This window comes from Homo sapiens, chromosome 2 (genome assembly GCF_000001405.40).
Source record: "Homo sapiens chromosome 2, GRCh38.p14 Primary Assembly".
Classification (NCBI taxonomy): domain Eukaryota; kingdom Metazoa; phylum Chordata; class Mammalia; order Primates; family Hominidae; genus Homo; species Homo sapiens.
The window spans coordinates 203,314,961-203,342,798 of record NC_000002.12 but is presented as its reverse complement, the minus strand read 5'-3'; the positions used below and the strand labels follow the sequence as shown (position 1 = coordinate 203,342,798).

The 27,838-nt window shown below is 42.0% G+C and overlaps 1 protein-coding gene and 1 pseudogene across 122 annotated transcripts in view, besides 5 other annotated features; one reads left to right on the top strand and one right to left on the bottom strand.

The window, feature by feature from the left end:
- ABI2 (abl interactor 2) overlaps window positions 1-14,405 on the bottom strand; it is a 103,776-nt gene extending 89,371 nt beyond the window's left edge. For all 122 annotated transcript variants that reach the window (NR_164713.1, NR_164705.1, NR_164715.1 and 119 more), the window contains exon 1: window positions 14,168-14,405. Coding sequence is in view for 77 of the 122 variants with exons in the window: in NM_001375676.1 (NP_001362605.1) it covers window positions 14,168-14,284 (117 nt within the window). In the remaining 45 variants the exon portion in view is untranslated. The remainder of the gene's footprint in view (window positions 1-14,167) is intronic.
- Window positions 13,837-14,186: a silencer, noted in NCBI's record as "silent region_12255". NCBI's record gives its function as "represses an Ori minimal core promoter by ATAC-STARR-seq in GM12878 lymphoblastoid cells {active_cell/tissue: GM12878}" and the evidence as "EXISTENCE:reporter gene assay evidence [ECO:0000049][PMID:35858748]".
- Window positions 14,407-14,746: a silencer, noted in NCBI's record as "silent region_12254". NCBI's record gives its function as "represses an Ori minimal core promoter by ATAC-STARR-seq in GM12878 lymphoblastoid cells {active_cell/tissue: GM12878}" and the evidence as "EXISTENCE:reporter gene assay evidence [ECO:0000049][PMID:35858748]".
- Window positions 14,407-15,518: a biological region, named in NCBI's record as "H3K27ac hESC enhancer GRCh37_chr2:204192004-204192974".
- Window positions 14,463-14,650: a silencer, noted in NCBI's record as "fragment chr2:204192872-204193059 (GRCh37/hg19 assembly coordinates)". NCBI's record gives its function as "represses an EF-1alpha promoter that drives an FKBP-Casp9 reporter gene in an ReSE screen in K562 erythroleukemia cells {active_cell/tissue: K562}" and the evidence as "EXISTENCE:reporter gene assay evidence [ECO:0000049][PMID:32094911]".
- Window positions 14,548-15,518: an enhancer, noted in NCBI's record as "H3K27ac hESC enhancer chr2:204192004-204192974 (GRCh37/hg19 assembly coordinates)". NCBI's record gives its function as "activates a minimal SCP1, AML or CMV promoter by ChIP-STARR-seq in primed H9 embryonic stem cells {active_cell/tissue: H9 hESC(primed)}" and the evidence as "EXISTENCE:reporter gene assay evidence [ECO:0000049][PMID:30033119]".
- On the top strand, window positions 26,906-27,609 carry MRPL50P2 (mitochondrial ribosomal protein L50 pseudogene 2; annotated as a pseudogene).
- Window positions 27,610-27,838: the final 229 nt, after the last annotated feature.

Here is a 27,838-nt window from a genome sequence, read left to right as displayed (position 1 = left end):
AACCTAGCCTGCTCTTCTAGATTCAGAATAAAAGGTTTTGAGGGCGATTAGCCAGGCATGGTGGCGAGCACCTGTAATCCCAGCAGTAGTACTAAGGAGGCTGAGGCAGAAGGAGTGCCTGAGACCAGGAGGCAGAGGCTGCAGTGAGCTGAGATCACGCCACTGCACTCCAGCCTGGATGACAGAGTGAGACCTTGTCTCAAAAATAAATAAATAAATAAATAAATAAATAAATAAATAAATAAAAGGTTTTGAGGGAGACATGGAATCACTATTTAAGCACTATCTGCTGGCAGAAAACTTGTGGTACTACATATTGAAAGATGCTGGCATCCCTTGTTGGCTTCCCCTATTCAACTTTGTTTCGTAGGTTCCTAACAACCTATCTCCTTGCCTTTATGAAAAGCCTTCAACACATAAGTGGGTAAGGCCACATAACATCAAGAAAAACAAAAAAACAGTCCCATATTATATGCAGTTCAACTCCATTAATTCAAAATTTACAACGAAGATTCTTCATAGAAATCAAAATGGTAACAGAACTGGACTTGGTCCATGAGTTACTTACCACTGACCTCACAGAATGGAAAGATGCTCAATAACTATTTTTGAACGACCAGGAAGGAAAAAAACATATAATAAAATAAATGGTGTGAGTCATAAGTTCATTTTACTCAACAAAAATTTACTGAACACTAAGAAATGAGGACATAACAGGCAAAAAAAAAATGAACATAATTCCTCTCTTCACAGAATTTTAGTTTAGCAGAGTCAGAGGTAAACTTGAGTTGTCTCATCTAATATGTTATAATAGGAATATCTCCCTTGCTTATACCTCCCAGGAAGCTGTAGATCAGTTCAGACATTTGATGAGCTTCCACTATTGAGTAAGTCCTGCACTAAGTAACTGTAAATAAACTGCTTAACCCTAAAGCACCAACCACATGTGGAATATTAGTGTCAATTCTGTTGGCCATATCTACATTAAATATTCTGGACAAATAAAAAGTATTTGCCAACTTTCATTTTCCAGAGCATAAATCTATCAACTCTTCAAATTTGCAAAACTAATTTCTTTTGTTTTTTTTTGAGATGGAGTCTCGCTCTGTTGCCCAGGCTGGAGTGCAGTGGTGCAATCTAGGCTCACTGTAACCTCTGCCACCCGGGTTCAAGCAACTCTCGTGCCTCAGCCTCCCGAGGCACTACTGGTGCACACCAACAAGCCCGGAGAAATTTTTTTGTTTTTAGTAGAGATGGGGTTTCGCCATCTTGGCCAAGGTGGTCTCAAACTCCTGAGCTCAGGAAGTCTGCCTGCCTCAGCCTCCCAAAGTGCTAGGATTATAGGAGTGAGCCACTGAGCCTGGCCCAAAACTAATTTATTTCACTGCCCTCCGACATTTTCTAATGCTTACTAGAAAAGATCTAATTCGCTCATTTAGCGAATATTTACGGAGTGCCTATTTTGTGCCAGGCACTGTTCCAGGTACTGGAAATGAGTAAGAGACAAAAATCTCTGCCCTCACATACCAGGGAGGGAAAACACACAAATAAATAAGAAACACTGTATGTTAAGAGAAAATATGTAGGCGTAAAAAAAGCATGGAAGGATAAGTATAAGCAAAGGGAGAGTGAGCAAGGGGCAGGAGTATGTTATAATTTTACACAGAGTAGCCAGGAAGGGGTCATCAAGAACGTGATGTATCAGCAAAAGCTTGAAGGAAGTAAAAGAACCAATCATGCAACTATCTTGGAGTAGAGTACTCCTGGCAGAGGGCATAACAAATACAAAGCAAAAAGGCCCTGAGGCAGAAGTATGCCTGGTATGTTCAAGAAAAGGATGCCAAAGTGGCTGAAGTTGAGTGAACAAAGAAGGGTAAAGGAGTGTAACAGGAGATGATGTCAAGGCTAGATGCTGATTGTTTGTGGCTTGCAGGCAATATTGTTTTGGTTCAGTTTGCTTTGGGTTTTTTTTTTCAGCTTTGCTGAGGTATAACTGACAAAAACTGTATATATTTAAAGTGTACAACATGATGACATGATACACACATAAACTGTAAAATGGTTATCACAATCAAGATAATCATTTCTTGATTATCTTTGGTGGGAGCGGGGAGTGGGCAACACTTAAAATCTACTCTCAGCCAGGCAAATGGTAGCTCACACCTGTAATCCCAGCACTTTGGGAGGCCAAGGTGGGTGGATGGGTAGAGCCCAGGAGTTCGAGACCAGCCTGGGCAACAGGGCGAAACCCCGTCACTACAAAAATTAGCCATGTGTGGTGGTACACACATGTAGTCCCAGCTATTCGGAAGGCTAAGGTGGGAGCATCACTTGAGCCTGGGGAGGTGAGGCTGCAGTGAGCCGTGATCATGCCACTGTACTCCAGCCTGGGTAACAGAACAAGACGCTGTCTCAAAAAAAAAAAAATCTACTGACTTAGTAAATTTCAAGTATACAATATTATTAACTATAGTTACTACACAGTACATTAGACCCCCAAAACACATTCATCCTATAACTACAAGTTTGTGCCCTGTGACTAACATCTCCCCATTTCTCCCCACCTCCCAACGGCCCTTGGCCGATAATAGAAGCAGATTCTATTATCTGCTTCATTCTATGGGTTCATCTTTTTAGATTCCTCATATAAGTGAAATCATACGGTATTTGTCTTTCTGTGCCTGGCTTATTTCACTTACCTAATGTTCTCCAGGTTCATCCATGTTGTCACAAATAGCAGGGTTTCCTTCTTTTTATGGCTGAATAATATTCTATTACATATGCAGTTGACCCTTTAACTGTGTGGGTCCAATATACAGATTATTTTCAAACAAATACAGTATTCATCCACATATACAGATGGGACAGATGACTTTTCATATACACGCGTTCCACAAGGGTGACTGCAGGATTTGAGTATATGCAGATTTGGGTATACTTGGGGGTCCTAGAACCAATGCCCCATGTAGACTGAAGGAGAACTGTGCATGCAGTACACATTTTCTTCATCCATTCATCCACTGACACTTAGGTTGTTTCCATATCTTAGTTACCATGAATAATGCTGAAATGAACATGGGTGTGCAGATGTCTCTTTGAGATAATGATTTCATTCCCTAGGGATATATACCCAGAAGTGGGATTGTATGTTTGTCCTATTTTTAATTTTAGGGAGAACTGGGTTTTCTTTTTTTCTTTTTCTTTTTTTTTTTTTTTTTGAGACGGAGTCTTGCTCTGTTGCCCAGGCTGGAGTGCAGTGGCGCAATCTCGGCTCACTGCAACCTCTGCCTCCCGGGTTCAAGCAATTCTCCTGCTTCAGCCTCTGGAGTAGCTAGGACTGCAGACACCCGCCAACCACACCCAGCTAATTTTTTTATTTTTAGGAGAAACAGGGTTTCACCATATTGGCCAGGCTGGTCTTCAACTCCTGACCTCAGGTAATCTGCCTGCCTCGGCCTCCCAAAGTGCTGGGATTACAGGCATGAGCCACCACACCCGGCCGGAACCAGTTTTTCATAATGGCTGTTCCAATTTACATTCTCACTGCACACAAGGATTCTCTTTTCTCCACCTGCTTGCCAACACTTATCTCTCTTTTGATAGCCACCCTAACAAGTGTGAGGTGACAGCTCCTTTTTGTTTTGACTTGCATTTCCCTAATGATTAGTGATGTTGAGCACATTTTCACATACCTGTTGGACGCCTGTGTGTCTTCTTTGAAAAAATGTCTACTTAGGTCTTTTTAAAATCTGGTTATTTGGTTTTTTGCTATTAAGTTGTATGAATCCTTTATATATATATATATATATATATATTTATATATATATATATATATTTATATATATATATATATATATATATATACATATACACACACACACACACACACAGATATAAACCCCTTATCAGATAGATGTATGGTTTGCACATTTTCTCCCATTCCATAAATTGCCTTTTCATTTTGTGTCCTTTGCTGTGCAGAAGCCTTTTAGTTTGATGTAGTCACTCTCATCTTTTCTTGCTTTTGTTGCCTGTGCTTTTGGTGTCATATTTATAAAAACCATTGTCAAGACCAGAATCAAGGAGCTTTTTCCCCTATGTTTTCTTCTAGGAGTGTATCAGTCCATTCTTATGATCGTATGAAGGAATACCTGAGGCTGGGTAATTTATAAAGAAAAGAGGTTTAATCGGCTCTTGGTTCTGCAGGCTTTACACAAAGCACAGTGCTGGCACGTACTTCTGGTGAGGTGTAATCATGGCAGAAGTGGAGCCAGCATGTCACATGGTGGGGGGGCTCCCAGACTAATTTTAAACAACCAGTTCTCACGTGAACCAAGCAAGAACTCACTTATCACTAAAGGGATGGTGCTACATCATTCATGAGGGATCTGCCCCCATAATCCAATTATCTCCCACCAAGACCCACCTCCAACACTGGGAATCACATTTCAACAAGAGATTTGAAGGGAACAAACATCTGACCCATACCAAAGAGTTTTATAATTTCAGATCTTACATTTAAGTCTTTAATCCATTTCTAGCTAATTTGTATGTGTGATATAACAATCAAATTTCATTCTTTTGCATGTGGATATAGTTTTCCCAATACCATTTACTGAATTATCCTTTCCCCATTGTGTACCTGGTGCCTTTATCAAAGCTTAGTTGACTGCACAGATGTGGCTACATTTCCGGGCTCCATTCTGTTCCATTAGTCTACATGTCTTTTATGCCAGTAACACACTGTTTTGATTACTATAGCTTTTTTTGAGACAGAGTCTCGCTCTGTTGCCCAGGATGGAGTGCAGTGGCATGATCTCAGCTCACTGCAACCTCCACTTCCTGGGTTCAAGCGATTCTCCCAACTCAGCCTCCTGAGTAGCTGGGACTACAGGCGTGTGCCAGCATGCCCTATAATTTTTGTATTTTTAGTAGAGATGAGGTTTCTCCACGCTGGCCAGGCTGGTCTTGAACTCCTGACCTCAGGTGATCTGGCTACCTAGGCCTCCCAAACTGCTGGGATAACAAGCATGAACCACCATGCCAGGCCTATAGCTTTGTAATATAGTTTGAAATCAGGAAGTATGATACCTCCAACTTTGTTCTTATTCAAAACTGCTTTGGCTATTCAAAGTATTTTGTGGTTTCCTATGAATTTTAGGGTTTTTCTATTTTTGTGAAAAATACCATTGGAATATTGATAGAGATTGCATTAAATCTGTAGATGGCTTTGTGTAGTATGGACATGTTAACAATATCAAATCTACCAATTCATGAGCACGGGATATCTTCCCATTTATTTGCATGTTCTTCAATTACTTTCATAAATGTCTTATAGTTTTTAGTGTACAGACCTTTCACCTCCTTGATTACATTTATTCCTAAGTATTCTATTCTTTCTGCTGTTATAAATGGAAATGTTTTCTTAATTTTTCAGATCGTTTGTAGTTAATATGTAGAAACACAACAGATTTTTGTATGTTGATCTTGTCTCCTACAACTTTACTAAATTCGTTAATTAATTCTAACAGTCTTTTGGTGGAGTCTTTAGGGTTTTGTATACATAAGGAATCATGTCATTTGCAAACAGAGACAATTTAACTTCTTCCAATTTTGATGCCTTTTGTTTATTTTTCTTTCCTAACTGGCTGGCTAGGACTTCTAGTACTTTGCAGTACTTGATTAAATAGAACTAGTGACACTGGGCACCACTGTCTTATTCCTGATCTTAGAGGAAAAGGTTTCAACTTTTCATGGTTGAGTATGATGTTAGTTGTAGGCTTGTCATATATGGCCTTTGAGACATCACTAACAAGAGAATAGCTAAAATTTTAAAACCTGACAAAACCAAATGCTGACAAAGATGAAGAACAACTGGATCTTTGCTGGTGGGAACGCAAAACGGTACCATCGTTTTTGGAAAAGAGTTTGGCAATTTGTATAAAACTAAACACACATTTACCATACGGTAATAATCCCACTATTAGATATTTATTGTCAAGGCAAAGAGAAGGCAATGTGATAGACCTGCCCAACTGCTTGTTAGGTTCAGAAAGCCTACCATTTACATGGAGGGCAGAAGGAATAGTAGTAAAAGATACAGCCCTTGTGTAAAGCAATACTAAAACAAAAGGAGCCAGGTGACTACAACATAGATATGACACTCTGTTGCGGAGGAGCCAATGCCATGCTGCAACTAAAGTCTTACAGCCTGCAGCTACTACCTAAAAGGGTACAATAGAGAGCCTCATCTCATGGGAACTAGGAGGTGATGAGGCACTGTTATCACGTACAGCCTCCTCGGCAGATGAAGAGATTGAGAAAGGGCTTCACATAAGGTCCTCGCAAACTTCCATAATCTTATATTCCAAGAGGATCACAAAGTGCTCGGCCAAGATTCAGATCAGATGCAGTTCAAGCACTGGCCTATGCAGCCTATGTGGATACATCCACTGTTACCAGGGTACAACAGTTGATCTTTTCCCTTAAATTTACCCAAAAGAGTGAAGACTTAGGTTGCACCAACACCTGTATACAAATGTTTACAGCCATATTCACCACTGCCTAAAACTAGAAACAATCCAGAAATCCATCAGTTGGTGAATGGATGAACAAATTATGATTCTTTCATACTCTAGAATATTACTCAGTAATAAGAAGGAACAAAGTACTGACAAAACACAATAACACTGATGATTTTCAAATGTATTAGGACTTCTAGTACCAAGAAGTCAAACACAAAAGGCTATATACTACATAATGCCCCTTATATGGCATTCTGGAAAAGGCAAAAACTAGAGGGACAGAAAATATATCAGTGTTTACCAAAGGCTAGTAGTGGAGGGACAGGACTGACTACAGAGGGTACAAGGAAAATTTTACATTGTGGTGGTTACATGACTATGTAAGTTTATTGTAATTCATAAACCTTTACACCTAAAAAGGGTGACTTGTACCATATATGTATTAAAACTCAATAAACCTGACTTTAAAAATCAAATGAGAAAAAATTCATGTTGTAAATGATTCAAAACAAAGCTGTTACCTCATCCAAATTTTCTACAAAGTATATTACTTAAGAAGAAAAAAGCAAAACTATGTTCCTTGCATGAATTATGCAAATATGAAAAGTACTGCAAAACTTTACAGAACATAAATGTCACCAAAAAATCAAATAGGAAAAAACTTGCAAGGTAAATTTACATGTAATTATATCCTACTTATAAAATAATTCAAGGCCAGGCATGGCGGCTGACAGGTGTAATCCCAGCACTTTGGGAAGCCAAGGCAGGAGAATTGCTTGAGCCCAGGTGTTCCAAGACCAGCCGGAGCAACATAGTGAGATCCCATTTCTAACAACAACAACAAAAAAAATTAGCTGGGCATGGTGGCACAAGCCTGTAGTCCCAGCTACTTTGGGAGCTGAAGTGTGAAGACTGTTTGAGCTTGGGAGTGCAAGCTGCAGTGACCCATAATCGTGCTACTACACTCCAGCCTGAGTGACAGAGTGAGACCCTGTCTCAAAAAATAAAATAAAATAAAGTAATAAAATAAAAATAATTCAGTGCATAGGCTCTTGCATATTCAAGTCTGTATTTCTTACATTCAGCAACTATTTAATGAGTGGCTAGTATATGGAGAACATCCTACGGCTAATGGGAAAATATAGAAATTTTTAAGAAATGACTCCATCTTCTAGGAGCTTCGTATCTGGAAGGAAACACAAAGTAAATGAAAAATCCAAAATAGAATGTGTTGCCCTACATGCTACCTCATGAATCCAATCTATTAACCAATCCCATAAAAATTCAACCATAAGCTATCAAAAGTCTACAACTAGGCCAGGCACGGTGGCTTACGCTGTAATCCCAGCACTTTGGGAGGCCGAGGCGGGCGGATCACCTAAGGTCAGGATCTCGAGACCAGCCTGGCCAATACGGTGAAACCCCGTCTCTACTAAAAATACAAAAATTAGCCAGGCGTGGTGGCGTGCACCTGTAATCCCAGCTACTCAGGAAGCTGAGACAGGAGAATTGCTTGAACCCAGGAGGCAGAGGTTGCAGTAAGCTGAGATCGCACCACTGTACTCCAGCCTGGGCGACAGAGACTCTGTCTCAAAAAAAAAAAAAATCTACAACTAGCCTAATGTAACTTTCAGAATATTCACAAGGTAGAGTCAAATGGTGTCTAGACTGGCTTTGTCTTCTCTATTGTTTTTTTCCCAGAATCTCTGGACAGTGAGTAGGGTGCTGCAAAATGGATTTGGGGTGGGTGTAAGCAAATCACAGCATATTCATCCACCAAATATATTTCATCCACCAAAAGATTACCTTACACACCCTGAAACTGCATACTATTAAATTCCCTGCATTTTAAAAGAAAAAGTAACACCAAAAGCACCTCATGCTCAAAAATATCTCTACTACATATTTTACACATAAGTAAACCAATTTGGTTTATATATTATTCTCTGGGTGAGAAAAGATGACTCTAAATAAAGTAAACCTATCATACATTCTCACATTACCCATACCAAGGTAAGAAGAAAAAGTAAATGAGGCTGGGCACGATGGCTCACACCTGTAATCCCAGCACTGTGGAAGGCCAAGGCGGGTGGATCACTTGAGGTCAGGAATTCGAGACCAGCCTGGCCAACATGGAGAAACCCTGTCTTTACTAAAAATACAAAAATTAGCTGGGTATGCTGACACATGCCTGTAGTCCCAACTACTCAGGAGGCTGAAGCAGGAGAATTGCTTGAACCCAGGAGCCGGAGGTTGTAGTGAGCGAAGATCACGCCACTGCACTCTAACCTGGGCAAAGGAGTGAGACTCCATCTCAAAAAAAAAAAAAAAGAAAGAAAAAAGAAAAGAAAAAATAAATGAACAGTTTATTAATTAATTATTTTGGTAAAGAGCAATTTTGAACCAGGAAGCTCTTCAAGGAAGGGTGAAATGAGGTGAGACTGGATTTCCTGGATCAATAACGGAAATTATGAGGTCACTTAAGTTCCTTGGACAAGAAGGTGTAGGAAGTGTACAAATGACAAAATGTTTAAAAGAGCAAGGGGCTCAAATATAAATTAGCCTGTTTTTGCAATCTTGTCAAAGGTCTTGAAGATGACTGATTTGTCACTGAAAATCTATTCACCAAATGTCTCTGCTGAGAGTTAGGGACTAATTTCTTGAGGAATGGTAAGCCTTGATCAATTTCAAATGAGTTGAGTCATCTTAATCTATGGGGAATTCAGTCTCCCAAATTCTACTCAGTCTCCTTACTCTCAACTGACCTCTTTCTCCTTCATTCTAGGTATTCTAAGATTCTCCCATTTGCAAGAACATACAGAACTCGACCTATAAATATAACCAACCTCCTCCCAATATAGTATATGACATCCATTTAAAAAAAAGTCAAGCCCAGCATCCTTAAAAGGTTCTTTTAAAGGTACAGAATATAGAACATAAACCCATTTCTACAAAAATATTGATATATAGTTGTGCATACAAAAAATATTTAAAAGTATGAGTACCAGATATATATTCAAGATGATCGGGCAATTTTCCATTTCTTTCATAATACCTACTTGTATTCTCCAATAATTTTTCAACAATGAGCATGTATTCTAATGATTTTTATTAAATAAAAATTTTAAATCTTTGTATCATTTTGGTAATTACTTTTGATGAAACTGACTGATAATATTCCCTTGTAAACCTCTCATGAAGTTTTTAGTGAACTCTGGGAGTATCCACATTGATTAAGAGAAGAAAAGGAAAGCTACTAATATGTCTCCTATTGTTCAAAAATATTTCAGGTAAAAATTTAAGGTAAGTTCTTAATTTCTTCTCTTTTGAATAAATCCATATTATGGGATGATTCTACTCTTAATCCAAACAATAAGATTTTACTATGCATCTATGTGAACTGTCACTCACAAAAATCAGTAACTTTTATCTAACAAAAAGAAAAACGTACATATCAACAAGTTGGCTTTTCAGATTTCAGGGAAGTAACAAATAGGGAGTTATTTCATCTACCAAAACATTAAGACAACTATATTGTAATAAAAATTCTTCTATTTGTAAAAACGTAGATTCCAAGTTAACCAAAACATTTTTAATTCCTGGACACCTTCAAACATATTAGGCATTATATGTGTAATTTTTGTTTTTTTGAGACAGAGTCTTGCTCTGTCGCCCAGGCTGGAGTGCAATGGCATGATCTTGGCTCACTGCAACCTCCGCTTCCCAGGTTCAAGTGATTCTCCCATCTCAGCCTCCCAAGTAGCTGGGACTACAGGCACACGCCACCATAGCCAGCTAATTTTTGTATTTTTAGTAGATACGCGGTTTCACCATGTTGGCCAGGATGGTCTGGATCTCCTGATCTCGTGATGTGCCTGCCTCGGCCTCCCAAAGTGCTGGGATTACAGGCGTGGGCCACCGTGCCCGGCCTAGGTGTGTATATTAATAAATGAAGAAAAACGCAGGTCTTACATGTATCTCAAAAAAAAGTCTCTACCAACTACTAAATCCTTTGTATAGGCAAGAAATAAAATTGATCTGATAAATATCAGCAAACTGTAGTTATACCTGTTTATCATATTTTAGAAAAAATATTGACTATCCCATTTTCTAGAGGTTAGAATAATGAAACTATCTAAATTTTTATTAAAAATGACTCTTAGGGGGCCAGGCACGGTGGCTCACGCCTGTAATCCTAGCACTTTGGGAGGCCGAGGTGGGTGGGTCATCTGGGGTCAGGAGTTTGAGACTAGCCTGGCCAACATGGCAAAACCCCATCTCTACCAAAAATACAAAAATTAGCTGGGCGTGTTGGCACGTGCCTGTAATCCCAGCTACTCGGGAGGCTGAGGCAGGACAATCACTTGAACCCGGGGGACGAAGGTTGCAGTGAGCTGAGATCGCGCCACTGCACTCCAGCCTGGGCGACAGAGTGAAACTCTGTGTCAAAAAAAAAAAAAAAAAAAGAACACTGAGCAAAAACACTTATTACACATGATAAACAGATTTTTTTCTACTTTATAGGCAAAAATTACATTTCCACACAATAAAATGAGTGTTGGGTTAGTTAACTCGAGCTAGTGGCTAAGACATGATGCTATAATAAGGCTAAATTGGCCAGGTGCGGTGGCTCACGCCTGTAATCCCAACACTTTGGGGAGGCCAAGGCAGGTCGATCATCTGAGGCCAGGAGTTCCAGACCAGCCTGGCCAAAATGGGGAAATCCCGTCTCTACTAAAAATACAAAAATTAGCCAGGCATGGTGGTACACACCTGTAGTCCCAGCTACTTGGAAGGCTGAGGCAGAAGAATCGCTTGAACCCAGGAGGCGGAGGTTGCAGTGAGCAGAGATCGAGATCGCGCCACTACACTCTAGCCTGGGCGACAGAGTGAGACTCTGTCTCAGAAAAAAAAAAAAAAAAAAAAGGCTAAATTGACCATTTGATCACTGATCCTGTGAATTAACTTTCATCTACTGCAGGGTCCAGGCAGCATCAAAACCCCTGCTGGTCAACCAAATGTACAGCTGGATCAGCACAAATCCACTGTCACCACGTTCTATTTATCAACTTTCCCAACAAATCAACAAATCATATAAGAGCTATCATCCTGAGAGTGTACCAATTATATACCTAAGGCATCCTAAAATAAATGATAATCAAAAAAGAGAAAGTGTAAAATATACTTCAGATGCTAAACTGAAGAAATAAACTATTTTAAAATCTAAGTTCATTTCTATTAAATTAATATTAATCAATATTTATGCTTTAAATTTTAAAATGTCACCACACTAAATTTTGAGTCCCATTGCTAAAACAGAGATTGATAGTAGTAACGTTTTTCTCTTTTCAACTGAAGGAAATGTATAAAATATTTAAAAAGAAAACTGCTGATGCCTTTAACCTTTCAGCTTTAATAATCCTTATCCTTTTACCTTTATATAGCAATTATAACTTAAGAGGAACTTGTACCTTCAAATTACAATAAGAAATCATCTTGCAAAAGAGAGAGAAATCTGTTTATTTTTTATTTCTTACTGGTAATAATTGCAATCCACTTTTCCACCCTCAGTTTCTCTTCTGACCTGCAACTCTTTCCCCATAATATGCTGCACAAGGCAATGGAATTACCACTTCATTCCTTTAGGTTTTGCCTCTACTAGAGATTGTGAAATCCCTCAGAACAGCATTGCTTCCTCCAGTCCTCCTTGGTACCAGCAGTGCACTACAGAGTATAAATTAACTACATGGTATTAATTTCCTCCAAGATCAGCCTCTCCTACTAGGTATGTACCATCCACCCCTCACACAGTTCTAGGCCATAAAAGACTTTCAATTTTAGCGAAAAATTGAGCAAGTGAATCTTTTTTTTTTTTTTTTTTTGATATGTAGTCTCACTCTTATCGCCCAGGCCTGAACCTCTGAATCTTTTCTACCCCACTTGTATCAGCAAAGTACATTACAAGTGGACATTTGTATTTTTTTGTATTAATCTTGCCTACATTCCTTTCCTAGTAGCCATAGTCAACTGCCTCTTTCGAAGGAACAGGTTTATACAGTGGTTCGGGTCATTCTCAAATACAAATGTTGTCTACAAGATAACAGTATGTCTAATCAAACAAAATCTCACTTCCGCGATCAACAATGTGGCCATTACAAAATTTATGAACCTATAAAATTGTAACACCTGTTTTTTAAAATTTACACTAAGACATGAAAATGCTTTCCTATATAGCTAATGTTAAGAAAGGTGCCTCACGCCTATAATCCCAGCACTTTGGGAGGCCGAGGTGGGTGGATGACTTGAAGTCAGGAGTTCGAGACCAGTCTGGTCAACATGGTGAAACCCCATCTTTACTAAAAATACAAAAATTAGCCGGCTGTGGTGGCGGGCGCCTGTAGTCCCAGCTACTCGGGAAGCTGAAGCATGAGAATTGCTCAAACCTAGGAGGCCGAGGTTTCAGTGAGCCGAGATCGCGCCACTGCACTCCAACCTGGACTACAGAACGAGGTTGTGTCTCAAAAAGAAAAGAAAAAAGAAGGATCCCTGGAGAGATGGAGGTGGGAGCAAGAAAAAAGGAAAAAAAAAAAGACTGTGAAGAAACAGTTTAACATATTGCTTCCATTTCCATCTTTATCCCAAGAGAATTTAAACGGGAAAGAAAAAAAATGGAGGCAGAACCCATAATTCAAAATAACCATAAAAAAAAAAGCAAAAGATTTTAGATTTTGCAAACTGTGCCTTTTAACCTGCTATCCTTTCAAGTAATTTTTAAAGAAGGATTTTTTTAATCCACAGAATATTTTGCTTCATCCAGGAGCAGCTGGATCTCATACCATCCGGTATCCCCCGCCTCCATACACACGCCCCTACCACTATCAGCCCTTGAGCCAAACGATCCATCACGGTAAAAAAAAAAAAAAAAAAAAAAAATTAAACCAGGAGGTTCATCTTCCCAATTCTCTCTAAGAAACAGTCATAGTCTGTCCTCCTCCCACCCCCAGGAAAACTGCCTATTCTAACAGAACTAGGAGGGAGGGGGGAATCAGCTCATCATCCTTCTCCATAGGGAAAAAAATGGCATTAACTTCCAACAAGAAACTGCTGCTCTTCTACCGTATCCCCTTTAGAACATAAAATATTAAGAAAGGGTTTCTGAAGCATTCACAGGAACAGAAAACTGAAGCCTGAAGCACTTCACTCTGCAGCAAGATAACCCCTTAAAAATCATCCAGAATTTGGGGGATGGAGGTAACCCGTCAACACCCGCGACACCCCTACCCTAAGGTGGGGAGCAGGATTCCGTCAAACAGAAAATGCCACTCTCCGCCCCCTCCGCCATCCGGAACGCTGACCGGCGCGGAGTGCGGGGGCGGCCGAGGGCGGGAGCGGCGAGGAGGCGGGACGCGACACACGCACCACGCCGAGAACTGCTTCACCGCTTTTTTAAAGGTTTTTAAAATGCAGTTTCTCCAGCCGGAGAATTCCCACCCATTCACCAGCCCCAGCCCTCACCCAGCTCCCCACCCCCATCGGGGGCTCCGCTGGGCCGTGTCCCCGAGGCGGCCTCGGCCCCACGCCCCGAGGCGCGCGGCCCCCGGCGGGGGGGTCCCCGACGCGGCCCAGCTGGGGATGCTTCGCACCTGTATGTAGTTGTTCTCGCAGTAATCGGCCACCCGTTCCAGATTTGTGTAGCTGTCGAAGAGGGCCCGGCGGCCCCCCGGGATTTCCTCTTCCAGCAGCATCTGCAGCTCCGCCATCTTCACATCCTCCTCCTCCTCCTCCTCATACAGGTCGCAGAGGGAGCGGCGGCCGCAGCGCCAAGGAAACCCAGGACCGGGAGAGGAGGAGCGGCGGCGACGGCGGCGGTAACTCGGAAGGAGCGAGAAACAGCCCCAGCGCGCGACAGGGGAGGGGGCGACGGGGGCGGGGCGCGAGCCGACGGACTCCGAGGACGGTCACCGCGGCGACGGCCGGCCGGGCGCGCGCACGCGCGCTCCCTTCCCTCCGCCCCCGGGAGCCCGAAAAAGATTCCCACCCTCGCCCGCGCCGCCGGCCCCTCCCCCACTTCCGGCGTCTCCTAGCGACGGCGGGGGTAGGGGCCGGGATGCGCGCGGGAGTTGGTGGTGCAGTTAACCCTTCCGCCGCCCGCCCGCCGCTGGAGCGGCTGGAGAAGCCCCCACCTCCCGGCGGCCTTTGTTAGCCCGGCGGGAACACACCACCCTGCTCAGCTGGCTTCCTGCCGGCTCCCTCCGGGACTCATCTCGGCTCCGTCCCCATGGAGGTCATCGGCCTAGGGAACTTCTCGAGGCTTTTCTCCCTCTGCTGCTGACGGGAGGCCGAAGGAGGGCACAGCCTCCACTCTTGGGACCCTCCTCTGTGAAAGATCACACCTCAACAGGGCAGGAATAAAACTTCCACGCAGCTTTCAATGCCACCTGACTTCATTTTTCTCAGATTTGACCTCATCCTCTTTGTTGCAGTGAATTGCAGTTTCCTAACCCCAGCTTTCCTGCGCCCCTGCCTCTTTGCACTTCCCCACTAACGCTGTTCTCCCCTGCCAGATTAGCCCCTTTCTCTCCTGGTTTGCGGTGCCGTGGGCCTCAGCTTTTTATGTTTGCCATTTCTATGATTCGCTTCCTCACTCATAACCTTTTCTGTCATTTCTCTAATGCTATCAACTTCGCTGTCCTTTTTCCTATTCATGGATTCAGTATTTAAAATTTTGAAAACGATTTTGCTAGTAGTAATTGCCTTCTTCACAGGGCTGTTACATAGATAAAATCAACGTTTATTGTGAAAATACCTTGAAAAAACATTAAGTGCTACAAAAATTCAAGGCAGATAATTTTCCTCTTGCAGAGTTATAATTCTGTTTTTATTCTCCAGATACTGTGTCTTGTTTTCCTAAATCAGACTACCCCACACAATGTAATCTGGAAAAACTAAAACTCCTGACCATTGCTGAGATATGAAGCCATGACCTTTATTTGTGCTGTGGAAAATCAAAGTTGATTCCAGGCAGTACCATCTTAGACTTGTGTAGTTAGAACAAGATCCATTGTTTCAACACTTTTCTTAATCTGGTGATCTCTTGGCCCTCCTACAGTGAATTTTTTTCATTCAGATGATGAGGAAACTTATACTTTCAAAAAAAAATCACTTTAGGACGGGCGCGGTGGTTCACGCCTGTAATCCCAGCACTTTGGGAGGCCGAGGCGGGCGGATCACGAGGTCAGGAGATCGAGACCATCCTGGCTAACACAGTGAAAACCCGTCTCTACTAAAAATAAAAATAAAAAAATTAGCTGGGCATGGTGGCGGGCGCCTGTAGTCCCAGCTACTCGGGAAGCTGAGGCAGAAGAATGGCGTCATCCTGGGAGAAGAGCTTGCAGTGAGCGGAGATCGTGCCACTGCACTCCAGCCTGGGCGACAGAGCGAGACTCCGTCTCAAAAAAAAAAAAAATCACTTTAATACCATATCATTACAAATATCTGGAGCAAACCCTAATGTTATATTGGCTTCATGATACATACATTAGCAGAATGTATGAGTTTTCACTGTGGAACCTAAATTAAAGGATATTGAAAATGTTGGTCTAGTCCAACTAGTTTTATTCTTAAGCACTTTAACCATCTTCTGTAGTAGTGGTTCTCAAACTTCAGTGTGAGGAGCTTGTTAAAAATGAAAGCTGCAGGGTCACACACACTAAGATTCATTAGTTTGAGAGCATGAGTGATGGAAATGAGTAGTTATTTAAATGACACATCAACTTGCTTCAGTGAATACGACATATGAATAATCAAGTGAATAAAACAAATGTTAGATGAAGCAAACTTTTCTTTCAGACTAAACTTCAATAGATCAAAAAATAATGTTGAAGAAGCTCATCAGGTGAGTTAAATGGTAGACAGACTCTTCCCCTATCATTACTTATTCCCACCCAGCATTTTTTCAACTATGGCTTAGCAATTAGCCTAATAAACAAATTTCCCTCTGGGATGTTTCGTCATTCTAGAAATTACCTAGAAAAGATTCTAGTATTTTCTCTAATTAGTGACAATCTCTTTGGACCTAGTTTCCTTATCAAGAAATCAAAGGGTGAGGCCGGGCACGGTGGCTCTCGCCTGTAATTCCAGCACTTTGGGAGGCCGACACAGGTGGATCAGCTGAGGTCAGGAGTTCGAGACCAGCCTGGCCAACATGGTGAAACCCCGTCTCTACTAAAAATACAAAAATTAGCTGGGTGTGGAAGCGGGTGCCTGTAATCCCAGCTACTCAGAAGGCTGAGGCTGGAGAATCGCTTGAACCAGGGTGGCGTAGGTTGCAGTGAGCCGAGATCGCGCCACTGCACTCCAACCTGGGCGACGGAGGCTCTGTCTCGAAAAAGAAAGAGAAATCAAAGGGTGAAACTCAGGTCAGGAATTCTGAAACTTGAGTGTGGTTTGGAATCACCTGGAGGGCTTTCTAAACCAGATTGCTGGACCACACCTCCAGAGTTCTTTATTCAGTTGGTCTGGCCCAATTTATTAATGTAGGTTTAACAAGTTCCCAGCTGATGCCTATGAAACGGCCCTTCTGGCTCAAAAAGTCTATGATTCCAATTTCTGGCAGCTGGGAAACTCCATCTAGAGAGGTGCTTTGTACACAGCAGAATCTGAGATGCAAGGACATAAACAAAACACTTTGCTGCCACCAAGATTGATTAAGCAAAAAAGGATAACTACAAAATCTGTAAAAGAGTATATAGTTATTAGGTTCAAGGATGAGATTGTGTACCTCATGAAAATCTTCCACTACTTCTCCATTGTTTAAGCTGATGAAGGTAATTGAAATCTGTTCAATTTTACAGTTTTTCAGATGAACTGATATGATAAAAGTGCATTTTCAAGCCCTTAGAGAGTTACAATTATAATAGTTGTACACACTTCACATGAACTTCTTATAAACGTAAATAAGCAAACTCATTGCTCTAAGAAGCCATATTTAAGAGCTTTAGTACAAGAAGATTTTCAAAATTATACAAATCTAATATACCCATGTATGAGGTTGTGAAGTTATAACCCATCTTAAAAAAATATCTTTCTTAAATTTATTCCAGTGTTTTAAAAATTATTAGCCCCTTCTAAGTCCCATGTAATAGAAGCACATCTTACCTTTAAAAACCATAACTTCTAGCAGGACAGGGTGGCTCGTGCCTGGAGTCCTACCTACTCAGGAGACTGAGACAGGAGGATCACTTCAGCCCTGGAGTTTGAGACCAGTATGGGGCAACATAGACTTTTGTCTCTGAAAAAAAAATTAAAAATGCATAAAAACAATTAATTTTGTATATGATTTAATAGGCATCTTTTTTTTTTTACTTTTTTTTATTTTTTATTTTTAGATGAACATCTCACTCTGTCACCCAGGCTGGAGTGCAGTGGTGCAATCTTGGCTCACTGTAATCTCTGCCCCTCAGGTTCAAGCAATTCTCTTGCCTCAGCCTCCCTAGTAACTGGGACTACAGGCACCCGCCACCACGCCAGGCTAATTTTTGTATTTTTGGTAGAGATGGGGTTCCACCATGTTGGCCAGGCTGATCTTGAAATCCTGACCTCAGGTGATCCGCCCACCTCGGCCTCCCAAAGTGCTAAGATTACAGGTATGAGCCACCACACACATTCAGCCTATCTCCTTTATAAGAACATGTTGCTGCTCATTTCAGGCTAAAAATGGGTCAAACAAATATCAAATTACAATATATAATCGTTATATACTGACTGACCTCCCTCATATCTTGGAAAATTCAAAATGTTCACGTATTCATCAGATAAATTCAGGATGGATGCACTATGGAGAAAAGACCAGGGAAACAATGCTCAAGGCAGACACTAGTTTGAGGATTATGAAATCAATCCAGCTAAGAAATGATGGTGATCTCCAGGGAGAGGAGATGCAAAGAAATGGATGGAGTAATAAATATTTAGTAGGTAAAATCAATACAGGTTGGTGAATGGTTAAATATGGAAGTTAATGCAAGACAGGAGTCAATGTTGGTGGTAAGATTGCTGGCTTGGGCACTTGGGTAGTTGGTGGTGCAATTTACATATAAATTACATAATATTTCACATGCCTGGAAAACCTCCAATTTACATTTATTTTCTGTATGTTTCGATCATTGTTATCAATAACACTGGCTTTTAGGACGCTGTATTAAGCTCTGTGTTGATACTATGCTACTGTCGGTAAGTTATTTAATTAAATAAAAGCCTTCAGTAGTATAGCATGTTTTGCCCTCTCAAAAGTCTTTAACAGCTGTGGAGGGAGACGGGGCAAAATTAGAGTAATTAACATGTGTTCAATGCCTACTGTGTGTCAGGCATTCATTCTGCATTTCACATAAATTAATCTTCACAACTAAATGCAAAGTAGGTTTTATGATCCTCATTTCCAGATTCAAAAACCAAGGTTTAGAGAAACAAACTAACCAAATATACTTGGAAATCAGGGAGTTAGCAATTATACCTGGTTTTGATTTTTTTCATGTTTTTCTTTTCCATTATACCATGCTAAATCACACTTCTACTTTAACTCTGTAAGTGCAGTACTTCAATAATGCACATAAACATTAATAATGCCTATTGAACATCCATTACATAACCTCTTTTAATTTAAAAAAAAAAAAAAAGGTTAATTCTGGCCAGGCACAATGGCTCACGCCTGTAATCTCAGTACTTTGGGAGGCTGAGGCGGGAGGATCACCTGAGTTCGGAAGTTTGAGACCAACCTGACCAATGTGGAGAAACCCTGTCTCTACTAAAAATACAAAATTACCCGGGCATGGTGGCACATGCCTGTAATCCCAGCTAGGGAGGCTGAGGCAGGAGAATCACTTGCATCTGGGAAGTGGAGGTTGCAGTGAGCTGAGATTGCGCCATTGCACTCCAGCCTGGGCAACAAGAGCGAAACTCTGTCTCAAAAAAAAAAAAAATTGTTAATTCCTTTCAATAGAACAACTCTTTGATACTTACAGGCATTCACTAAGTATAGGGTTTTTTTTTTTCTTCTCAAAGCTAAACACAACCAATTCTTGTATTCTTCATCAAATATTTCACAGAATTATAGAATGTACAAGTTGGAGGGCATCTTAGAGATTATCTAGGACTTACCCCAACCTTTTACCGATGTGGGAACTTAAACTAAGAAACATTGATTGCCCAAGGATACCTAGTAAGTGTGAAAACCTAAACTCAAAATCAGGAGAAAGGAACAAAATACGTTTTAGATACAAACATTATTTTTGAGCTGTTTCATGACATTTTGATGTAAATTCAGTTCTTATCCTTACAAGTAGCTGCCTCCTTCTGGGGTCTTCACCATCTTGTCAAAATCTTTAAAATGCGAACCCCAAATTGAATTCAGTATTCCATATATGAAGCAAAAATGATACCAGACAACAATCCCAATACAGTTTTTTTGGAACTTGACAACATAATTTTAAAGTTCATGTGTAAAAATAAAAACATAAGAGTATCCAGGACATTTCTGAAAAAGGATAATCCAGAAGAAAACTTGTGGTTCTAATTAATAAAAACACATAAAGTAGCCTGTAATCCCAGCACTTTGGGAGGCCAAGGTGGGCGAATCACCTAAGGTCAGGAGTTCCAGATGAGACTGGCCAACATGGCAAAACCCCGTCTCTACTAAAAATACAACAATTAACTAGGTGTGGTGGTGGGCACTTGTAATCCCAGCTACTCAGGAGGCTGAGGCAGAAGAATCACTTGAACCCGGGAGGTGGAGGTTGCAGTGAGCCAAGATTGCACACTGCACCCCAGCCAAGGTAACAGAGCAAGACTCTGTCTAAAAAAAAAAAAAAAAAAAACCATAAAGTAGAGTAAATGAAAGTATCACCAGAGTAGAATAAAAACTAAAAACTTGGCTGGGCGTGGTGGCTCACGCCTGTAATCCCAGCACTTTGGGAGGCCGAGGCAGGTGGATCATGAGGCCAGGAGATCGAGACCATCCTGACTAACATGGTGAAACCCTGTGGTGGTGGGCACCTGTAGTCCCAGCTACTCGGGAGGCTGAAGCAGGAGAATGGTGTGAACCCAGGAGGCGGAGCTTGCAGTGAGCCGAGATTGTGCCACTGCACTCCAGCCTGGGCGACACAGTGAGACTCCATCTCAAAAAAAAAAAAAAAACACTAAAAACTCAACCCTAGTAAATATAAGAATTAAATATGTGATCAACGTGACATTTCAAATCAAAGGGAAATAAAGAGTACTAGAACAACTAGATAACAGCAAAAAAAATGTTAGATTATGATATAACAATAAATACTGGGCCAGGCACAGTGACTCACACCTGTAATCCCAGCAATTTGGGAGCCCAAGCCAGGTGGATCACTTGAGCTCAAGAGTTTCAGACCAGCCTGGGCAACAGAGTGAGATCCTGTCTCTACAAAAAAAAATAGAAAAATTAGCTGGGCATAGTGGCGCACATCTGTAGTCGCAGCTACTCAGGAGGCTGAGATAGGAGATGGCTTGAGCCTGAGAGGCAGAGGTTGTAGTGAGCCGAGACTGTGCCACTGCACTCCAGCCTGGGCAACACAGCCAGACCCTGTCTCAAAAAATAATAACAAATAAATTCTGACTGAGAGAAGTGGCTCACACCTGTAATCCCAACACTTTGGGAGGCTGAGGCAAGAGAATCACTCGAGCCCAAGAGTCCAAAACCAGCCAGCCAGCCTGGACAACAAAGTAAGACCCCTGTCTCTACAAAAAGAAAAAGAAAAAGAAATTAGCCAGGCATGGTGATACACGCCTGTAGTCCCAGCTACTCGGGGAGCTGAGGTGGGAGGATCTCTTGAGCCCAGGAGGTTGAGGCTGCAGTGAGCCATGGTCTGCACCACTGCACTCCAGCCTGGGCGACAGAGCGAGACTCTGTCTCAAAATAATAATAAATAAATGCAACATAAATTCAAGATTTAAAGTTTTAAAAACACTAATAGAGGCTGAGCACAGTGGCTCACACCTGTAATCCAAGCACTTTGGGAGGCTGAGGCAGGCAGATCACTTGAGGTCAGGAGTTCAAGACCAGCCTGGCCAACATGGTGAAACCTGTCTCTACCAAAAAATACAAAAATTAGCCAGGCATGGTGGTGTGCATCTGTAGTCCCAGATACTCGGGAGACTGAGGTGGGAGAATCGCTTGAACCGGGGAGGTGGAGGCTGCAGTGAGCCGAGATCATGCCACTACACTCCAGGATGGGTGACAGAATGAAACCCTATCTCAAAAAATGAATACAAATACAAATACAAAAACTAGCCAGGCATGGTGGCACATTCCTGTAAGCCCAGCTACTAGGGTGGCTGAGGCATGATAATTTCTTGAACCCAGGAGGTAGAGGTTGCATTAAGTTGAGATTTCACCACTGCATTCCAGCCTGGGCAACAGAGCAAGATTCTGTCTCAAAAAAACTAAAAGAAAATAAAGGTAAATATATGACATTGGAAGGGAGAGGACTTTTCTAAATTATATTTTTAAAAAAAGGAAAATAAAAATGTTACACTTTCATATAATTTAAAATAGCACAAATAATTTAAAAAAGACAATCAGGAAAATGTCTGATGTTTATGATGAAGGGTTAATGTTTTTACTATATAAAGAATACATAAGAAGCTCTTAGAAATCAACAAGACAAATACCCAATAGAAAAAGGACATAAACAGGCAAATTTACGGTGGCTCACGCCGGTAAACCCAGCACTTTGGGAGGCTGAGGGGAGCGGATCACAAGGTCAGGATTTGAGACCAGCCTGACCAACATGGTGAAACCCCATCTCTACTAAAAATACAAAAATTCACGGTGGCACACGCCTGTAATCCCAGCTACTCAGGAAGCTGAGGCAGGAGAATCACTTGAACCCGGGAGGTTGCAGTGAGCCAAGATCGCACCACTGCACTCCAGGCTAGGCGACAGAGCAAGACTCCGTCTCAAAAAAACAAACAAACAAGCAAAAGGCAAATTTACAAAATAAGAAATACAAATAGTCAGTAAATGTAACTAAAAAAGGTTTGATACCCCAATTATCAAAGAAATGCAAGTAAAATAAAAAGATAACATTTCTCACCTATCAGATTGACAAAGATTACAAAGAATGACAATTATGACAATACCAACCATATATATTCATGAATTTGATATAACCTTTCTGAAAGGCAATTTGTAAATGTATAGTGTGTGTGCGTATAATCTGAACGGCCGAATTGTAGGGGTTTTTTAGTTTTACTCATCTTAATTTCTCTAAAATGAACGTAAATTATTTTTCTACAAGTCCAGTGAGACTTTTATCTCCCCAAATTAGAAAGGATTTCTTTCTTTTTTTTTTTTTTTTTTGTGAGACGGAGACCCACTCTGTCGCCAGGCTGGAGTGCAGTGGCGCAATCTCGGCTCACTGCAATCTCCGCCTCCTAGATTCAAGCAATTCTCCTGCCTCAGCCTCCCGAGTAGCTGGGACTACAGGCTATGCACCACCACAGCCAGCTAATTTCTTTCTTTCTTTTCTTTTTTTTTTTTTTTGAGATGGAGGCTCGTTCCGTTGCCAGTCCGGAGTGGAGTGGCACGATCTTGGCTCACTATAACCTCCACTTCCCAGGTTCAACTGATTCTCCTGCCTCAGCCTCCCAAGTAGCTGGGATTACAGGTGCCTGCCACCACGCCCGGCTAATTTTTTGTATTTTTAATAGAGACGGGGTTTCCCCATGTTAGCCAGGATGGTCTCGATCTCCTGATCTCGTCATCTGTCCACCTCGGCCTCCCAAAGTCCTGGGATTACAGGCGCGAGCCACCGTGCCCAGCCAGAAAGGATACTTTTATTAATGCAACCCAAGATGACTTTTTTTTTTTTAGTAATTTTATCATCAACTTGATTTAAGTTATCTGTTAGCTATTACACAGTACTCAGGATAAATGCACACAGAGCTTTTTATTAAAAGATGATGTGATTGGCCAGGTGCGGTGGCTCATGCCTGTAATCCCAGCACTTTGGGAGGCCAATGCAAGCAGATTCCTTGAGCTCAGGAGTTTGAGAAGCCCTAGCAACATAGTGAGACTCCGTCTCTACATAAAATAGAAAATTAGCCAGGTGTGGTGGTGCATGCCTCTAGTCCCCACTACTAGGGAGGCTGAGATGGCAGGATCACTTGAATCCAGAAGTTTGAGGCTGCAGTGAGCTATGATCATGCCACTGCCCTCCAACCTGGGCAACAGTGAGATCCTGTCTCTTAAAAAAAAAAAAAAAAGACCAAATTACTTAAAAAAAAAAATCCTTACTCTGCAATACAGCTGTGCAATACAGGATTCCATGCTTTATAGCTGTGTGAATTCAATTTGTTTTTGCAGGAAGGGTTTCTTTTTTTTTTTTTTTTTTTTTGAGACAGAGTCTCACCCTGTTGCCCAGGCTGGAGCCACGATCTTGGCGCACTGCAACCTTCACTTCCCAGATTCAAGTGATTCTCATGCCTCAGCCTCCCCTAGTAGCCAGGATTACGGGTGTGCACCACCACACCTGGCTAATTTTTGTATTTTTAGTACAGATGGGGTTTCACCATTATGGCCAGGCTCGTCTCAAACTCCTGAACCCAGGTGATCTGCCCACCTCAGCCTCCCAAAGTCCTGGGATTACAGGCATAAGCCACCGTGCCCAGCCACGATATTTTTGTTTTATGAGTCAAGGTCTCACTTTGTCACCCAGGCTGGAGGACAGCGGCCTGATCTTGGCTCAGTGCAGCCTTGACCTTTCGGCCTCAAGTGATCCTCCAATCTAAGCCTCCTAAGTAGCTGGCACTACAGGCGCGCATCTGTATTTTTGCAGAGACAGACTCTCGCTATGTTGCCCAGGATTCTCAAACTCCTGAGCTCAAGTGATCCTCCCACCTTGGCCTCCCAAAGGGCCGGGATTACAGGTGTGAGCCACCACACCCGGCCTTTTCTCTTTATTATGAAAGTACAAACATACAAGTATGGAGAATGATATAATGAATAAACATTAATTTGTGACATGTGACAATGTCTTCCATTTTTACCTTACCTTCTCATCTTATTCTTATGCTAAAGAATTTTAAAGATAATTACAGTAATCAGGACATTTAACCACTACATCCTTTAGTACATATCTCTAAAAAACAAGGATATTTTGCTACGTAATCACAATATCTTTTTTTTTTTTTTGAGATGGAGTCTTGCTTTGTAGCTCAGGCTGGAGTGCAGTGGCGTGATCTTGGCTCACTGCAACCTCTGCCTCCTGGGTTCAAGCGATTCTCCTGCCTCAGCCTCCCGAGTAGCTGGGATTACAGGCACACACTACCATGCCCAGCTAATTTTTATATTTTTAGTAGAGATGGGGTTTCGCCATGTTGGCCAGGCTGGTCTCAAACTTCTGACCTCAGATGATCCGCCCGCCTCTGATTCCCAGAGTGTTGCGATCACAGGCGTGAGCCACCGTGCCTGGCCACAATATCATTTTTATATCCAACAAAACCAACTATAATTCCCTCATATTATCCACTACCACAATAGAAGACATTTTTCAAGAAGAAACTACTCTTTTTGGAAAAAGATAACAATTGTTATCTCACACAGTTTCTGAGAATCAGGAATCTGGGAGCAGCTCCTCTGGGTGGTGTGGCTCCAAGTCTCTCATAAGGGTGTAACTGCAACCTCCACTTCCTGGGCTCAAGCTATTCTCCCTCCTCAGCCTCCTGATTACAGGGATTACACGGTGCATGCCATCATCCCTGGCTAATTTTTGTATTTTTTCTTTTGGTAGAGATGGAGTCTATGTTGCGCAGGTTGGTCTCGAACTCCTGACCTCAAGTGACCAGCCCACCTCGTCCTCCCAAAGTGTTGGAATTATAAGCGTGAGCTACCACACCCGGCCGAAAATTACTCTTATAAAGAAGAGAGTACAGGCACGGTGGCTCACGAGGGGGACAGATCCATTGATCTCAGGAGTTTTTAAGACCAGCCTGGACAACATGGCAAAACCCTTTCTGTACAAAAAATACAAAAATTAGCCAGGCATTGGTGGCTTGGATCTGTAGTCTCAGCAACTCGGGAGGCTGAGGCGGGAGGATCACTTGAGCTGGATAAATTGAGGCTGCAGTGAGCCATGATCCTGATGGAGCCACTGCTCTCCAGCCTGGCAACACAGCAAGACCTTGTCTCAAAACAAAAAACAAAAAACAAAAAAGGCCTGGCGCGGTGGTTCACGCCTATAATCCCAGCACTTTGGGAGGCTGAGGCACGCAGATCATGAGGTCAGGAGATCGAGACCATCCTAGCTAACATAGTGAAACCCTGTCTCTACTAAAAATACAAAAAAATTAGCTGGGCGTGGTGGTGTGCACCTGTAGTCTCAGCTACTCGGGAGGCTGAGGCAGGAGAATGGCGTGAACCTGGGAGGCAGAGCTTGCAGTGAACTGAGATCGTGCCACTGTTCTCCAGCCTGGGCGACAAAGCGAGACTCTGTCTCAAAAAAAAAAAAAGAGAGAGAAGACACACTGTATACCCAGAACACAACCTGAAGGGATTATATTGTAATATTTTGTAATCTATAGTGGTTTCCTTATCAGCAATGCCAAAATAAAGAGCTCCCTTCTTTGTAAACGATAAAGAGACTAAAATTTTTTAAACATGAAACCATAAGAGAGTGGACAGTGTAAATTTTAAATTATGCACCATAATGTAGTTCTATGTATAGCAATGGGGTAGGCTGGGTGCTGTGTCTCACGCCTGTAATCCCAGCACTTTGGGAGGCAGAGGCGGGTGGATCACTTCAGGTCAGGATTCGAGACCAGCCTAACCAACATGGTGAAACCTTGTCTCCACTGAAAATACATTAAAAAAAAAAGAAAAGAAAGAAAGAAAATTAGCTGGGTGTGGTGGCTCACGCTTGTAATCCCACCTTCTCAGGAGGCTGAGGCAAGAGAATTGCTTGAACCCGGGAAGTGGAGGTTGTGGTGAGCCGAGATTGCGCCACCACACTCCAATCTGGGTGACAGAGGAAGACTCCATCTCAAAAAAAAGAATGGGGTAGCTAGCTGGGTGCGGTAGCTCAGGCCTGTAACCCTAACACTTTGGGAGACAGACTGGGGAGGATCACTTGAGTCCAGGAGTTTGAGACCAGCCTGGGTAATAGAGTGAGACCCCAGTCTCTACAAAAAATAAAAAAATTAGGCAGGCTTGGTGGCATGTGCCTGTTGTCTCTGTTACTGGGGAGGCTGAAGCAGGAGGATCACTTGAACCCAGGGAGTTGAGGCACTGCAGTGAGCCATGATCCCACCTCTGGGCGGCAGAAAAAGACCCCATCTCAAAAAAAGAAAAAGAAAACGAGAGGCCCGTGGATCTCATCGAAGATGGCAGCGCAATCTGTGTCCGGCATTACCAGAAAAGTCTTCATGTGGACAGTCTCAGGGGCACCACATACAGAATTTTGGTCTCGATCCAGAAAATAGAAAGAGCCAGTGGTTGCTGAGACAGTACAAGAGGTGAAAAAGGAATCTATCCTCAGTGTGTCTACCCTCACAAAGCCGAGCATACACACAACCTGAAGATCTCCAGAGTTGTTTGGAATCTTATGTTAAAGAAGTTTTTGGTTCATCTCTTTCTAGTAATTGGCAAGACATCTCCCTGGAAGATGGTCATCTACGGTTCAATCTCTTGGCACATTTAGCTGATGGCTTGGGTCATGTAGTCCCTAACTCCAGACTCCACCAGATATGCAGGGTTAGAGATGTTCTTGATTTTCTATAATGTCCCTATTCAAGATAGATCTAAATTTGATGAACTCAGTGCCAGTAATCTGCCCCCCAATTTGAAAATCACTTGGAGTTACTAAGCAATTTGGAAGAGAAACACATTAACATCACTTTTTTTTCCCTGAGCAAGGGGGCTACTTATTAGACCTTTTGATACTTCACCATGTGAAATACTACCAGAACTGTTCTCTAAACCCACTTTTTCTATGGAGGAATGTATCATCTCTTTTTTTTCTCATATTATGAGTGGACAAATAACAGGACTTTCTATTTTCATATTTGCTGAAACCTTTTTTTATTTTTATTTTTGAGACAGAGTCTTGCTCTGTCGCCCAGGCTGGAGTGCAGTGGTGCGATCTCAGCTCACTGCAACCTTTGCCCCCTGGGTTCACGCCATTCTCCCGCCTCAGCCTCCCAAGTAGCTGGGAGTACAGGTGCCCACAACCACACCCAGCTAATTTTATTTTTGTATTTTTAGTAGAGACAGGGTTTCACTGTGTTAGCCAGGA